Source organism: Homo sapiens, chromosome 17 (genome assembly GCF_000001405.40).
Source record: "Homo sapiens chromosome 17, GRCh38.p14 Primary Assembly".
In the NCBI taxonomy this organism is placed as follows: Eukaryota; Metazoa; Chordata; class Mammalia; order Primates; family Hominidae; genus Homo; species Homo sapiens.
Genome location: NC_000017.11, coordinates 77663508 through 77680806, shown reverse-complemented (window position 1 = coordinate 77680806; position 17299 = coordinate 77663508). Strand labels below are relative to the sequence as shown.

The 17299-nt window shown below is 45.6% G+C and overlaps 1 long non-coding RNA gene across 1 annotated transcript; it reads right to left on the bottom strand.

The window, feature by feature from the left end:
• Positions 1–52: 52 nt before the first annotated feature.
• Positions 53–13829, bottom strand: LOC107985079 (uncharacterized). Its single transcript, XR_001753032.2, has 2 exons — positions 13619–13829; positions 53–3504 (listed from the first exon to the last, which is right to left on the bottom strand). It is a non-coding gene; the product is annotated as an uncharacterized LOC107985079 (long non-coding RNA).
• Positions 13830–17299: the final 3470 nt, after the last annotated feature.

The window sequence follows — 17299 nt, the reverse complement described above, 5'->3', positions numbered from 1 at the left end:
GTTTATAAGGAAGGAAAAAATGGGAAAGACATAGACCAGTATGCTCAATGAGTAGGATTATGAAGGATTTTAATTTTCTTCCTTATCTTGATTTTCTAGAATTCATACAACAATATGCACTTCTTTTGTAAAGACAGAAAAACTTCATGTACATTTACAGTACCAATTTTTTAAAAATCCATACTATATATTGATACTTGAAAACAGAAAAACATAAACACAGCTACAAAATAATTATAGTGTAATGTTAAATTTTAAAAAGCATGATGCAAATCTGTACTTTAAGACGACAAAAGACAAGGCATTGGCAAAGAAATGATACATGTTTGAAGTGATGGATAGCCTAATTACCCTGATTTGATCATTACACATTGTCTGCATGTATCAAAATATCACAGGGACCCCAGAAATATGTACCATTATTATATATCAATTTTTAAACGACAAGATGTTGAGATGGTGTGATTTCTAGATGATGGTTTGTGCGAAAGCATTAGGTTCTTCTGTGTTTTGTGAAATGTTCACAATGATGCATGTGACTTTAACAATGATCAAATGTCACCTCTTCAGAGGGAACTTTTCCAAATAACCTGCTAGAAAGAATCCTCTGCCCTTGGGGAAGGAAATCATTTTACATCTCTTTATTCATTTTTATTTTTGTTCGTGGCACTGATCACTACCTGGAATTTGATTTTGCAGATAGATCTTTGTGAGCTTACTTGTCTCTCCCCACTGGAGTGTCACTTCCTCAAGGGCAGGTGCTTCTGCTCAGAACAGTGTCTGGCACACGGAAGGGGTCCAATTTGCTGGATGAAGGAATAGATGGATGGAAGGATGGGTGAATGAATGAGGGAAGTCAAGCGATCCCCAAGCGACTTAGGAATGTAGTTGCTCCCCTGAGAAACCAGGCAGCTGCCATTCTCCGAAGTGCCCCGGCTTGCCAGGCACAGAAGGTCTCATGGCACCTCAGAGACTGGCCCTGCAAGGGACATGGCTGATGGCCAAATACAGTCACCACCTCGGGCTGCCCAAGCTCTGTCGAGCTGGAATATGGCAGGGCTAACATTACAGAAAACAAGTTGACGGCGTCAGAAATGGGAGTTTCATCACCCTCAGACGTGTTTAGCCCCAACTGTGTGTCAGTCTCTGCTGGACTCCAGAGCATAAAGGAAGCAATCATTGTCCAAGGAACAGAGTCCCTAAAGGAGGTAGTGGGGTCAGGGGAAAAGGAAGGAAGGAAAGGGACATTTATTAAGAAATTTATTGTATGCTGCAGTTTACTCTATTATCTCATTTAATCTTCTGAACAATCCTACAAGACTGAAGGTGTAAGAGCCATTTCTCCACCTGGCAGGTGATGAGAAGACAGTGATGACAATGACAGCTAACGTGCACTGAGGGCTTCCTTGTTCTCAGTGCTCGGCAGGTGCTACTGTCATGCACCATGTAACAACATTTGCGTCAGCACAGACCGCATTGATGATGGTGGCTCCATAAGATTATAATACTGTATTTTGACCCAACCTTTTCTATGTTTAGATGTGTTTAGAAACATGAATACCAGGCATGGTGGCCCACGCCTGTAATCCCAGCACTTTGGGAGGCCGATGAAGGTGGATCACGAGGTCAAGAGATCGAGACCATCCTGGCCAACATGGTGAAATCCAGTCTCTACTAAAAATACAAAAAGTAACTGGGTGTGGTGGCTGACGCCTGTAGTCCCAGTTACTTGGGGGGCTGAGGCAGGAGAATTGCTTGAACCTGGGAGGTGGAGGTCGCAGTGAGCCGAGATTGTGCCACTGCACTCCAGCCTGGGCGACAGAGCAAGACTCCATCTCAAAAAAAAGAAAAAAAAAAGGAAAAAGAAAAGAAAAGAAACATGAATACCTACTACCATGTTCCAATTGCCTGCAGCATTCAGTACTGCAGTACACTAACGTGCTGTACAGGTTTGTAGCCTGGGTCCACAGGCATACACCATATACCACAGGCTGTACCACCTGGGTTTGTGTAGGTACCCTCTGTGATGTCCACACAATGAAAAATGTCTCAGAACATTTCCCAGTGTTAAGTCACACATGCCTACATTGAACACGACCCTCACAACATCCCCATGGAGTGGGTGTCTCACCCACAGAACCAGAGACAAACATGGGACATCCAGGGTTGGGGACAGCAGTTGGCAGGCGGGGTGGGGTGGTCCTGAGCAATTTGGCCAAGGTCTATGGCCAGCCAGGCTGGAGCTGGTCCCCTCCCCAGCTTGGATTCATAAATGCCATGTGTTAGCTCACAGGGGTGCTGCAAAGGTTAAATGAGAAGATGGGTCTGACCTGCATGGTACTTAGTAGGTGCTCAATAAAAAATGGGTTGAGTGAAGGCTTGTGGTTTACAGATGAGGAAACTGAGGCTCAGAGCTGTTTTGTGACTTACGCAAAGCCACAGAATATAAGTGGCGGAACTTAGCCTTCCAACCCAGGTCTGCTGGCACCAAAGCCCCTGTATTTCCACATTTAGAGCCGGTAAACAAATGATTAAAATGCAGCAGAACGAGGACTATTAGAGATAAACACAGTCTGCTCTGTGGAGCTGAAAGATGAAGTAAGACAGTGAACGAGAAGGGGTCGATACGTGTCCACTGAGGAGATGACGGGAGGCTGCCCAGACTGGAGGAAATCCCAAAACATTAACAGAGGTTCTTTTCTGCAGGAACGATTGCAAGTGCAAAGGCACAGAGGGGTGAAAAGAGAACGGGCTGAGGTTTGATGTGATTTAAGCGTGGGGGGCTGGGAGGAGAGAAGAAGATGGGGAGGGGAGGGAGAGGAGCCGGGGCCATAGACCCAGGCCGGGTTAGAGATGCGGCAGAGAAGGACGTGAACTTCTCCTGGAGATCCTGGCTGTCCACCCGGCTGCACGTTAGAATTGCCTTGGGAGTTAAATAAAAATATCCCAGTGTCCAGAGCCACCCCAGCCCCACAAGCCCAGTGCAGCAGAGCAGGCAGCGGGGCCGGAGCAGAGAGAGAGAGGTCCGAGCAGCAACGGGGCCTGATCACTGAGGATGAGGGCCGCTGGGAGGACTTTGGCTTTTTTTGGGATTTTCATCCGAGTCCGTGTTCCCAATACTCATGTCCTTGGGTGACCAGGCTCTGTTTGTTTCCACCCAGGCTCAGAGGAAACAGAGCCTGGCTGAAGGGAACGACTTCATCAGGATACTGGAGGTGTCCAGGCAAAAGTTCAAAGTCTTCATCTAGACTCTTTGCAGCAATGGAATTAGGAGAAAAGCAGAGATTCCAGAGATAGTTGGGAGGTAGGACCACCAATCAGGCCTGAGCTCTTGAAAGCAGAGAAGATGGAATTCCCAGTCCTGGTTGGTTGCAATGTCCGCTTCGTGCATGGCTCTGCAACACTGTGCACAGCTGTTATGCACATTTAAGACTCCGCAAACAATAAGCTAGCAGCAAGCGGCCCCCTGGGTCTTGGTTGTTCCCAGCATACTTGGTATCTGAGCTGTGATTGGGGTGGGGAAACAGGGAGGAGAGAGATGAAATCAAGGACCATAGTTAGTGCAACAGGCAAAAAGAAGCCTTGCCTGAGCAGGGAGATGAGAAGATTCCATCTGGGGGAGTGGGGAGCCCCCAGCCCATTAACGAAGGCCGTGGGGGATACAGGCCAGACCTGCAAGGAGGAGGGCTTGAGCCCCGGGGTCTGGAATCTTTGGGCTATTATGATATCTGTCATAAAGTGTGGCCGCCATTCCTGTCTCTCCAAGAAACAGAAGGTGACAGAGCCCCTCTCAGTGTTGGGACCCGGAAGCTCAAAAGGGGGCAAAGACATCTAGGCTGGGCAGAAACGAAGACGAGACACCTGCGTGGGGCATTCCAGCAGCGGCAGAGGAGGACGTGAACTGATGGGAATTTCCACTATCTGGGTTTAAATCCTGGCTGGAATTTCTCACTCTTTCCATTTCCATTTCATATTTCAGTTAAAAAATAATGACAAAGGCCGAGGGTTACAGAGCAGCCTCCCCCTCCTCGGTAATTACCAAATTAACACATTCTAACAGGCGCCCCCGCAGCACACTGTGATTAACGCACAAGGACAATTAGCTGTAGAGCCTTCTCCTCTCGTTTTAACCTCCTTAAACAGCCCGAGCCGCGTGCAGGGCCTCTGGGGTGAGCCTCCTCGGCAGGCACTCCCTCCCCCTCGATTTAATGGAATCTGAGACCCGGTTTAATGTACTAGGCAGTGCACAGTCCTGTCCCGCCCTCAGGGGCCTCACCCCACAGGTCAGGGAGGCAGCCTCCCCATCCAAGCAGGGGGCCGGGAAAATGAACCCCAAATTAATTTATTCAGCCAATTCATTAGGCAGGCGTTGATTGAGTGCCGGCTCTTCGCCCGGCGCGGGGCTGGGAGCCCAGGGAGATACAAGATAAAGTGGAATGCGGATGGCACATTCCTGGCGCTCGCCGTCCGGGAAAGGGAATCAGGCGGCTGGTCTAAGACACGCCAGAAAGTGGCCGATGTGAAACAGACTCCATGCTCCTGAGGAATTCCAGGAAGGGGGCACGGGGCTGGGTTCTTGCGGACGGCCCAGGGAGTGTGGCAGGTTGGTGAGGTACCCAGAAGCCAGGGCTGCAAATGCAGGAAACTGGCTGAGAGCTGAAGGGGCAGCTCAGCTCGAAATAAAGCTCAGCTCGGCTCGAAATAAAGCAGAGGATGTCAACTGTGAAATTACACCCAAAAGGCAGGAGCCTGGGCTGGGTGTGACATGGTCTGGCTTAGTGACAACGTGGCTTTGGCTGGGGTGTGCTGAGTGCTGGGGAGTGTGAAGAAGAAGATGTGGGTGGGTGGGGACCAGCTCAAGGAGGTTGCAGGGCCCACAGCGGGGAGGGGGAGGTCAGCAAATGGAGGGGCTCACCTGGGCTCCTTCATCCAGAGGCCAGTTAGAGATTAGGATGGAGCTGATGCAGAATCTCAGATGGAGGAGGGAGGAAGGAGGGAGGAGGAGCACAAGAGGTCACTCATAGGAAGGATTAGCAAAGCTTGCACCTGATTAGAGCTGAGGCCCCAAAGAAAGGCAAGTGCCAGGGTTCAGGCTAGAAGGAACAGTGTGGGGGTGTCAGCACCCATGGCTGGGAGGGGAGGAGGGCTTGGGCTTTGGGGTTGGAGCAGGAGCAATGTGGTTGGAGATGGCCGGGTGGGTCTCCACGGAGCCGCGGCAGTGGACAGGAAGGCCCGCTGGGGACACTAATGGGGAAAGAGGACAGACAGGGGCTCTTGGGTAAGGTCTGGAGACTCCAGAATTCACCCGACCTCAGGCCTCAGAGGACCACTTAGGTGGAGCCTCCACTGTCCAGCCCTCCTCAAAGTGCACCTTCAGAGCGGGGGAGTCGGAAGTCTAGAGGTTCCAGAAATGCTCCTCAGCATTCTCCTGCCCTTGGTGGCAGAACCTGGAACCAGGATGGGAGGGGAGGCGTCACCGGGAATCCTAAAGGTGGTGTCTGGCCCCCAAATGGCCCAGCTGCTGACCCCAGGGGCAATTGTTCTGTGTCACCAGTTTTCAAATCTGTTCCAAGAGAGATTTATAACTCCCGCAGCAAACTAGCCCCGTGTGGTTTCTTTCGCAATGCTAAACACTGGCTTTGGCAGCACTCAAAGGGGTAAAATAAAGAGTTAGCAAAGTGTCTGTCCACATTTCCATCTTCAGAAGATGAGGGGGAAAAACCCCATCTGCACCCAGCTCAGATCCTTTGCTCCAGTCTTGCATGGAAGGAAGCTAAGAGAGCTGTGTCTGTAAAGCAGCCGCGTTCGTGTAATCTCATGTAGTCCTCACCACCTGCAATAACGTGTGAAAAACGATGCCCATTCCGCAGACAAGAAAACCACAGATGAGACAGGTAATTTCCCAAGGTGACCTGCAGGTATGGCATCCTCAGTCGGCCGCTTTGCAAGGCAGTGGTTGTTGGCCACCCTATCAGGGGCAGTAGGATGAAGGTTTGAGGCTTCTGCAGATGTGAGGTCGAGTTTGCCTTCAGTATCTAATCAAAGCGTATCTTAAGGAAATGTATGTAGCTTCTCCATGCCATAGTCTCCTCCAGTAAAATGAAGCTCATAATAGCACCTATTCTAAAGCTTCCTTAAGAGGATTAATTGAAGTCATACAGATTCTTCAATAAATCTTAGTGCCGCCATCATCATCATCATCATCATCGTCATCATCGTCATCATCATCATCATCATCGTCGTCACCATCATCATCATCATCGTCGTCACCATCATCATCATCGTCGTCACCATCATCATCATCGTCGTCACTACCATTGTTGTCCTGACCAGGGAAAACACAGGCAGCTACAGCCCCTCTCCCTGTGCCTCCTTACCCTGATGTGTGAAAGTCATGGCTTCCTAAATTGGTTATTTCTTTTTAAGACATCTTAACCAAAGCCTCATGCCTCCAGAGTCCTCACCAGGACAAATGTCAATAAGCAAGATGACTCCCTGAGGCTGAATTTTAAAAGCGCATTAAAGATTAAAGAATGCACAGGTCAATTACTGATACAAGTAAATGACTTTAGGAGTAATTACAAATAATTTTGCCTTGTTTATTTGGCATTAGTTTTGAGTGTCCATAATCCTGGGTCCCGGGGGCCCTTCACTTTGGGTTTGCATTTAGCAGATGAAGGGCCTTGGCTCCAAATGCGGAGCTGGAGTGTGGGAGAGGGCCCTGGCGCTGAGGGCTCGGCCTCTCCAGACTCCATCTGGTTGACTGGCTTCAGATTCACAGATTTCTGCAGCCCCAAACCACTCCCAATAGTTGCCTCACATTAGTCAGGGTTCTCCAGAGAAACAGAATCAATAGGAGATATATAGATAGATAGATAGATAGATAGATAGATAGATAGATAGATAGACAGACAGACAGACAGACAGACAGACAGAGATAGACAAATAGATGGATAGACAGTGGATAGATAGATAGATAAATGGATGGATGGGTGGATAGACAGTCGGATAGACAGACAGAAATGGATAGTATAGAAATAGACATAGATATATTAATAGATGATATAGATATAGATGTTGATATTGATACAGGTGATGAATTGGCTCAATGATCATGGAGGCTGAGAAATCGTATGATATCCCATCTGCCAGCTGGACAACGTGGAAAGCTGGAGGTGTCATTCAGTCTGAGTCTGAAAGTCTGAGATCCAGGTGAACTGGTGGCACAACCCTTAGTCTGAGGCTGAAGGCCTGAGAACCTGGTGCTGCTGGGGCAAGTCCTGGAGTCTGAAGTTCCTGAGAACCAGGAGCTCCAGTGTCAGGGCAGGAGAAGATGGATGTCCCAGATCAAGGAGGGAGACAGAGTTTGCTCTTCCTCTGCTTTTGTGTTTTCTCTGGGCCCTCGAAGGGTTGATAGATGACTGCCCACGTGGGTGGGGGTGGATCTTCTCTTCCCAAACTACTGATTCAAATGCTAACCTCCTCCAGAGACACCCTCACAGGCCTTCCCAGAATAATATTCTCCCGGCTATCTGGGCATCCCTTAGCCCAGTTAAGTTGACATAAAATTAACCATCACAGTGCCGGTCCATCACACACTGTGTAACACACCAGTCTGTCTACTCTCTGGGTGCTGACAGTGGGACCCCGATACTGGGAGAAGACAGAACAGATGTCCCTCAGAGTCTGCAACATAAACCATAGAGGTCATGCGGCTGAGGGCCAAGGGCATGTGAAGGGCAAAAGCTGGTCCCTGGTGAGAGAAAAGGAGGGCTGGTGAGGGCATTGTGCAGACTTAACAGGACAGGAGGAAGTGGAATTTCCAAAGAAGGTGAAGGAGGAAGAGGAGCATGATGGTGAAGGATTTTCCTTTGCTTTAAGCAAAGAGATAGAAAACTGCTCAAACCAGCTCAACAAAATGGCCTGTTATTGGAATGTATATTCATCTCCTAGGACTGCTCTAACAAAGCACTGCAAACTATGGGTGGCTTAAAACAACAGAAGTGTCTCCTCTTACAGTTCTGGAGCCCAGCAGTCCAAAGTCAAGGTAGTGGCAGGGTTGGTTCCTTCTGGAGACTTGGAGGGAAAAATCTGCTCCATGTTCTTCCCTAGCTTCTGGTGGCTGCTGGCTGACCTTGGCATTTATTGGCTTATCAGTGCTTCATTCCACCCTCTGCCTGTGTCTTCACGTGGCCACCTTCCCTGTGTCTGGCTTTGTCTTCCCTCTGTGGATGTTTTTGTGCCCACATTTTCCTCTTCTTATAAGGACGAGTCATTGGATCGGGGCCACTCTAATCCAGTGTGCCCTCATCTTAACCCGATTACACCTGCAAAGACACTTTTTCCAAATAAGCTCACATTCATAGATCCTGGATGGACATGAATTTTGAGGGGACAAATTCAGCCCAGTGCAGAAGGTTACAATGAAGACACAAACTCCTGAGGACCGACATAAGAGCAGAGCTGGGCTTCCTGAGATGGGGTCTGGAAACTGAGAAGTTAGAGGACAAGGGAGGCAGGACCCTTGAGCCACCCACACTCATTGTCCCCTTCTCCCTTAGTAATGGAACCTGATCATGCCCAGATCCTGGACATGCATGTGCTTAGGGAGGGGGAATCCCTTCCCCCAGCCCAAGCGGGAGCTTGATGTAGTCAAAATTAATCATGGTGATTCCACTCACCTCGTCAATGACTGTTTCAGACATGAACTTGTGATGCCAATTAGATTATAAAGATAAGTACAATAAGGCCAGGGTGGGGGTGCTGGAGGTGGCTTCTGAGAAGTAACATTTCCATAGCTAGAAAGAGATTTAGCAGTTTTGCCGTGGTAGCATAATGGGCATCAGACATACCGCCTTGCTACAGACTACTACAGAGGTGGTACAATAAGTAAAGGAGCAGTTTTACTTCAGGCAGGCTTTTGACAACAGGCTTTGGGCAGAATACGGCACGAGGCTAAGATCCATGGGAGGATGAAAACATACAAGGTAAGATCCATTTCTACCTAGGATTTTTGCCTGGGAGCATTTCCAAACTGAGGTATGGGAAAGAAGAACCCAAACAGAAAGCTCTATCATTGGGTGGACAAAGTAGAAAACAGAAAGCAAGGTTGCTGGCTGGGAGTGGTACCTCACACCTGTAATCCCGGCACTTTGGCAGGCCAAGATGGGCAGATCGCTTGAGGCCAGGAGTTTGAGACCAGCCTGGCCAACATGGTGAAACCTCATCTCTGCTAAAAATACAAAAAAATTAGCTGGGCATGGTGGCAGCTGCCTGTAATCCCAGCTACTCGGGAGGCTGAGGCAGGAGAATAGCTTGAACCCAGGAAGTGGAGGTTGCAGTGAGCCAAGGTCGTGCCACTGCACTCTAGCCTGGGTGACAGAGTGAGACTGCAGCTCAAAATAAATAAGTAAATAAATAAATAAATAAAATAAAAAATAAAAATAAAAATAATTCAAGGTTGCTGAGGAATCTGGAATTTGCAGGGCAGGGTACCAGAGTAGAGAGAGCTATGCATACAAGTATGTCCCAAGATTGACATGGAGTTCCCTAGAGTTTTTGGTCAAATACTAAGCAGGTTATGCTTAGGAGGAGACTACATAAGGCCTGACACAGAACAACTATTAGAGAGCTGTGAGCTAAATGGAGATTCTAAAGCACAATGTCTCCCAGCACCGTGCTGGGAGACATTGAAGTTCTGACCAGCCAAAGTGGGGAGACATTGCTGAACATTCAAAAATTTAGTGGAGATTTCAAAAGTCCACACCTTAGGAATAGGGCTACTACAGCGTTAGAGTAAGAGCTACTTCAGATCCACGTTAACAAAGCTTAAAACCAAGCCAAGACAAGATTCAGCCGATCCACCAGCAAATTAACTACCTGCCAGAAAAAAATCCAACACTCTTTAAATAAAGACAAAATAATCCAAATGATCAATAATGTGTCAGCAATATTTGGAATATAGTAAAACATTTCTAGATATATGAAGCAGGAAAATGTGACAAAATACCCAAGAGAAACACCAAGTCAATAGAAACAAACCCAGAGATAATATAAATATGGGAATTAGCAAACACGATTTTTAAAACAGCCCTTATAAATGTGTTCATGACTTATAAAATGAATATATATGAATAAAATGAATATATGTAAAATGAATAAATATGTAAAATATATATATAAATAAAATGAATATATATGTAAAAAGTGAACAGATGGGGAATCTCAACGGAGAAATAGACACTATATATATATATATTATATATATATAAACTGAATGGAACTTGTAGAACTTAAAAATAAAAGATCTGAAATTGTAACATTCACTGAATGGGCTTAACAGCAGCAGATACATTGCAAAAGAAAGCATCAGTAAACTTGAAGGCAGGCCAATAGGAACTCTCCAAACATAAGTACAAAGGGAAGTGGGAGTGAACAAGATTAATAGAATCGCTGTGATTTGTGGAACAATGTTACGTAATCTAAAATACATGTAACAGGAGTCCCAAACAGAGAGGATAAAAAAAATGGGGCAGAAAACAATATTTGAAGAAATAGTAACTGTAAATTTCAAATTTGATTTAAAATATCAATCCACATATCCAAGAATCTCAACAAACTTCAAACAGGATAAACACGAAGGAACTTCTGCTAGGCATATCGGAGTCAAATTTCTGAAAACCAAAGATAAAGAGAAAAATGTAAAAGCAGCCAAAAAAAATTAATTGCATACAGGAAAAAAAAAATCACTCAATAAGAATCATCACTGGGCAGGGCGCTGTGGCTCACACCTGTAATCCCAGCACTCTGGGAGGCTGAGGTAGGTGGATCATGAGGTCAAGAGTTCGAGACCAGCCTGGCCAACGTAGTGAAACCCCATCTCTACTAAAAACACAAAAATTAGCCAGGCATGGTGGCATGCGCCTGTAATCCCAGCTACTCAGGAGGCTGAGGCAGGAGAATTGCTTGAATCCGGGAGGTGGAGGTTGCAGTGAGCCGAGATTACACCACTGCACCGGCCCAGGCAACAGAGCAAGACTCATCTCAAAAAAAAAAAAAATCACAACTGACTTCTTACAAAAAAAACTAGAAGCCAATAAATAAAGGAATAACATCTTTAAAGGGCTGAAAGAAAGAATTGTTAACCTGGAATTATATATCTAGTGAAAATACCTTTCAAATATGAAGTAAAATAATATAAATAATAAAATTATTTCTGATGACTCCACCCTTCAGCATTGTCTTAGGGTTGTTTGAAACCAAACTGGCCCCAGAATAAATGCTACTCTGGATGTGTTCAGGGCTTATAAAATGAATATATGTGAACAAATATTTATAACTCTAGCAAAACTTTAAAAATTATTCCCCAAAGAACCAAGTTGATTTCAAGTAACTTAACAGTGTTCCAGAACATGGTTCAACAATTTAAATGAATACAATGAAAGGTAGTAAAATGAAAATGTCTAGCATCTAATTAAAAGGCATCCAAATAATCAGGAATATATGTCCCACAACCAGGAGAAAAATCAAGAAATGGGAAAAAGGCCCTGAAATGACACAGATGATAAAATTAGCCAAATAGGATGTTAAAACAGCTAGCAAAGGAAAACATGAACATGATAAGATAAATGAAAAATGTAGAAAAGTCAAAAATCAAACTTCTAGAGATAAAAAGTATAATATCTGAAATAAAGATACATTGGATGGTATTAACAACAGATTGGACACATCAGATAAAATTATCCATGAAATTAACAGCAATAAGAATTATCAAAACAACAACAACAACAAAAGGAAAACAACACTGAAAAAATAAATCGAGCAATAGTGGCTGCTTGTGGGACAATATTACATGCTCTACCATCATGTAATTGGAGTCCCAGGGGGAGAGGAGAAAGAGCGGAAGAGAGAAAAATATTTGAAAAAAATGATGGCTGAAAATGTTCCAAATTTGATGAAACTATAAAACCCACAGATCCGAGAGGTCTGACTAACACCAGACAGAAGAAACACTCCACTAAGCACAATGTAAACATATTGTTGGAAAATAGCAAAAAAAGAAAGGAAATATTGAAAGCTGGGGAAAAAGACAAACATAAGACAACAGACTTCTCATATAAAATTATGCAAGGCAGAGAAAATGGAGTGGTCTTTAAAGTCCTCAAAAAAAAAAAAAGTCCACTTAACATTCTGAACTCAGCAAAAATACCTTTAAAAATGAACACAAACAAAAACTGAGATGACCCATCACCAGAAGAACAGTACAATAAGAACTGTTAATAAAAGTCCTTTGGGCAAAAGGAAAATACGAGATGGAAATCTGGATCTACACAAAGGAAGGAAGAGTATTATAAATGGTAAATAAGTGGGTAAATAAGAAGTACTTTTAAATATGTTTATACATTCATATTTTGTATTGTGAGGTTTACAATGTATGTAGAGATAAAATATATGACAACAAAAGCGCTCCACAGGAGTCCCTATAAGCTGGTGTGGGGGAAACGGCGCTGGGGGTACTCCCAGCAGCTGCATGGGGCACTGGCTACAGGACTAGAATTCAGCCAGAGAAGACGAAAGCTCAGAGAACAGTGAACGCACCTGGGAGCCTACTGAGGGCAAGACTGTTGCCTTGATCTTTATTTCACATACAGCATTGTTTCTGCCATATCAGCTTGTAGGGACTCCTGTGGAGCAACAGGCTACACACAAGTACTCAACCTATTAGCAAATCTTGAAAAAATCTTGACATCAGAAAATGTTTCCCAAATTTGTTCTTGTCAAGATTGTTGGGGTTATTGTAGGCCCTTTGGCTTTCCATAAATGTTTTATAATACGTTTATCAATTTTTAAAAAAAATCTTGCTAGGATTTTAATAGGGGTTACATTTTTATCTACAAATCAATTTAAAAGGAATTGACATAGTAAGATATTAAGTCTTCCAATTCAAAATTAGAGTCTATCACTTCATTTATTTAGACCTTCTTGATTTTCTCTCAGTAATGTTTGTAGTTTTTAGTACAAACTACAAAATTCATCTGCAATGCCTGTGTCTGTCACACAGCATCTCAATGAATGTCAGCTGTCACAGTGAGTAAGGCAAGTTGTGAGTTAGTTGATGTATGAGAGAAACAAAGAATGAGTTATGAATGAATGAATGAATGAATGTATAATGAACCAGGGAATGACTGAATCAGCCAGTGAATGATCTAAAGACTAAACAAACAAACGATGTTCCCAGGATGGCTGTGGTAAGGGCAGGAGGCAGCAGCTTCTGTGTCCTTTGATTCTCTTTCTCTCCCAGATCACAGGTGGCATTTACTTCCCTCTTGGGGACTTCATCCACTGTGGCTGCCAATCAAACAGGATACTTTGTTTCTTAATTAGAAAGTGAGCATTTGAAAGCAAGGCTCTCCGATGGCTGAATACATAAAACAATCACCTTTGCTCCTTACAGCTGTCCCCACACTGAGTTAAAACAGCCACTTGGGCTGCCCATGATTTTGTTCCTGATCATACATCAAAGATGCGTGTTACGTGCTGACACTGGCTTCTTGTCTTTCATTGCATTTTATCAGTTCATCTGCCACAAACCTGAAGCAGGTGATCAAGGCCTACTTACCCTTGAACAGGGAACCTTCACTGTCCCAGCTGGGCTGGACCCCAGACCCCCTTCCTTGCTGCTTTGCCACACCCCTCTCCTCCACCTCTCAGAAGCCGCCATCGTGGTTGTGGTTTGCGTGCCAATTTCCAACGAGAGAGCATCTGAGGTCAGTTCCACAGTTCTTCATTTGTGTAGCTCCTCCTTAGGTTAAGGGGCTGAACACTAAAGTGTTCAGCAGCTCAAAGAGTATTTCCTGAATGCAAAAGAGAAGACAGGAAATAGCTTAAGGTTTTTGCCTTAAAGGGCCCCTACATGTTGTTTTGAGATAGGGATAGAAACTTTCTGCCCAAGGCAAGAAACTTTATGGATGGGCTTTCTAACTATCAGAAAGTGGGCAGGGAAGTAAAGTTCTTAAAGACCCATTAGCTAGAACTCTGGACAGGCAGCTAAGCCACAGCCCAGCCCTGGTGCTAATGTGAGAGCCATAATCTTTCTGGACCAGCCGATCCTTTCCCAGCCTTTGCACCTTTAGCACAAGCCCATTCCTTTTAAGCGATGTTGATAAGTTGATTGATGCACTTCCTGTTTTTCTCTTATGTGTGCGTTTCTAAGAGCCCATCTGCCCGCTGCCGTGGGCTTCTATCTAATCAAAGACCTATAATGTACTGATTGTCCTCAACCACGATGTTACTTCACTTTCCTGGGCAATTTACTCCTTTATAGGATTTAATCTGCTGCTGAAATTCACTGCATTATTAATGGGAAGCCGGTGCACAGTGCTGCTATAATTAAACCATTCACTCCATGACACCCACACATAAACACGCACAGACCTTCTCCCTTCGGTGCGCGGCTGGTGTGCTCACCCCTATATCCCCAGCCCCAGCCCCTGCATCAGGGGCTGTGCTCTTGACTTGAAATCCCAAGCGACCCATCATCCCATTCAGGATAAAATCTAAACACCTGTCCGGTTCCCTGCTGGATCTCCATGCTTAGAACAGCACCCAGTGCGTGCAGAAACTCAGAAAACATATCTTTAAGCAAACGAATGCATGAATGAATGAGTGAGTGAATGAATGAAGAGTAAGTGAATGAATGAGTGAATGAAGAGTGAATGAGTGAGTGAATGAAGAGTGAATGAATGAATGAGTGTGTGAATGAATGAATGAGTGAGTGAATGAAGAGTGAGTGAATGAAGAGCGAATGAATGAATGAGTGAGTGAATGAATGAATGAGTGCATGAATGAATGAAGAGTGAATGAATGAAGAGTGAATGAATGAAGAGTGAATGAATGACTTTCCTAGCTAGTAAGCACCCAAGTCCAGGGAATCACTCTCAGAGGCTGACTAGCTTCTAAATCATCAGAGCTTTGCTTCCACCCACTTTGCTGCTGTGGACAGAGTTTTGTGTGCTGGGAAGATAGTCGGGGAGAAGGAATTTGACCCCAATTCCATGCATCAGAGTGTGGAATCTAAAACTCTCTCCCCATGTGGGTGATGTTTGGAGCTTGCCCGTAGAATTTTTCCCTACCAATAATCATAATACACTCCCCCCACTCCTGCCTCTACCACCCCTCACCAGGCAAACAGCTCGTAGAGGGTGAGTGGTTCTCTGAACTCTGACCCCACCCCTCACAGCCTTCATTCCAGGCTTCCCCACACAGCTCTGCACTGGAGGCTGCAGATATAGGGCCAGATCCCTATATCTGGGGGCTCAATGGGCAGTCAGGCAACCAGACCTGAAAGGAAATCTGGATAGATAGTGAATTAGTCTGTTTTCACACTGCTGATAAAGACATACCTGAGACTGGGCAATTTATAAGAAAGAGAGGTTTAACGGACTCACAGTTCCACGTGGCTGCGGAGGCCTCACAATTATGGCAGAAGGTGGAAGGCACATCTTACATGGCAGCAGGCGAGAGAGAGATTGAGAGCCAAGCGGAAGGGGTTTCCCCTTATAAAACCATCAGATCTTGTGAGACTTATTCACTGTCACAGGAACATATGGGGGAACCGCCCCATGATTCAGTTAACTCGCACTGGGTCCTCCCACAACACGAGGGAATTATGGGAGCTGCAACTTACGATGAGATTTGGGTGGGGACACAGCCAAACCATATCAGATGGAGATGGGGTCAGAGTGCATGCAGAGTGCCCTGCTAAGCTCTCTGTCTCTGCCTCCCTGTTAAGTCCTTACCCTCTTAAACACTGTCCCATCTGGAGAATCTGTCATACTCTGCACCCAGAGGCACTTTGCCTGCCTCTCAAGGGACTTCTCAATTACATTATAAATATTTCAATCATCTGCCTCACTTCTCCTATGAGGCATCAGCTCCTTGAGGGCAGGCACTTTCTCAAACTTGCATTTGCACAGCCTGGTGCCAAGCCTAGCACTTAGCAGGCACCGATAAATGCCTATTGAATGAATAAACATTAAATACTGTGTATCATGGAATCTAAGACACCATCAATTATAAAATGCACCTATATGTCTCTGCCATTAAGAAAGAGAAAATGCTGCCGATTGACATATGACACCATGCTTTCTTCTTAGTTATCATGTCATTTTCCAGTTATTAAAAGAGGCCTTTTAAACTTAGCCATACGTTTCACCATGTGTTACTCTTGTGGACACAGAAAGCCAGGCAGCTTACATTTACTAGCTATTCGACCTCAGGAAGGTATTACTTTCCTGTGGGCCTCAGTCTTCCCATCTGTGAGATGGGGATACTGACACCTCCCTTGTGAATTCTCAGTGAGAAGCAAATGATGTCAAGCAGGAAAGCGCTCGGCCCCATATGTGCTTGAAAAGTGGCCCAAAGGTGCTCCTGGTGATGCCCAAGGGCTTCTACCAGCTGGCTGTCACCTCAAAGTCGAGATCCGGCTGGGTGGCGTCCAGAGCCCCAAAGGTAAACACTCTGCTCAGCTCCTTCCTCTCCCTGTGCCGAGGGCAGTGTCTCGGCCAGCCAGCATCGTCAGCGTCAGAGAGAAGACTCACCACCGGGAGCTGCAGGCCCTGCCTTGCTCCCTCCAGGGACAGGCCCACCTCTGTGGGGCTCCCCTATGCACCTTTCTCCTTTTAGTTTCCATCTTGACTCCTCATCCAAAGCACAATTTCTCAAGCTCTTTGGTTGGAGCTCATCCCCTTTCCAGTCTATGTTTTCTTTTTCTTTTCTTTTCTTTTCTTTTTTTTTTTTGAGACAGAGTCTTGCTCTGTTGCCAGGCTGGAGTGCAGTGGCCTGATCTCGGCTCACTGCAACCTCCGCCTCCCTGGTTCAAGCGATTCTTGTGCCTCAGTCTCACGAGTAGCTGGGACTACAGGCACATGCCAAGACACCCAGCTAATTTTTGTATTTTTAGTAGAGACGCGGTTTCACCTTGTTGGCCAGGCTGATCTTGATCTCCTGACCTCAGGTGATCTGCCTGCCTTGACCTCCCAAAGTGCTGGGATTACAGGCGTGAGCCACCGTGCCCAGCCTTTATTTGGTCTTCCTGGGCAACTTCCCTGGCTCTGTGAAAGAACAGCATTTCATATTCAGAGCTGAGGGCTGGGCAATTCGAAAGCACTTGGAGCTCAGTTTACGACCAGAGAAAGAACGTGTCCTGGTGTCAGAATAACCGGGACAATGCTACAGTTTCCTCAGCGGCTGCAGTCCACATAGAGGATGCCAAATGGTGCATCGTCTACTCACTGTGGAC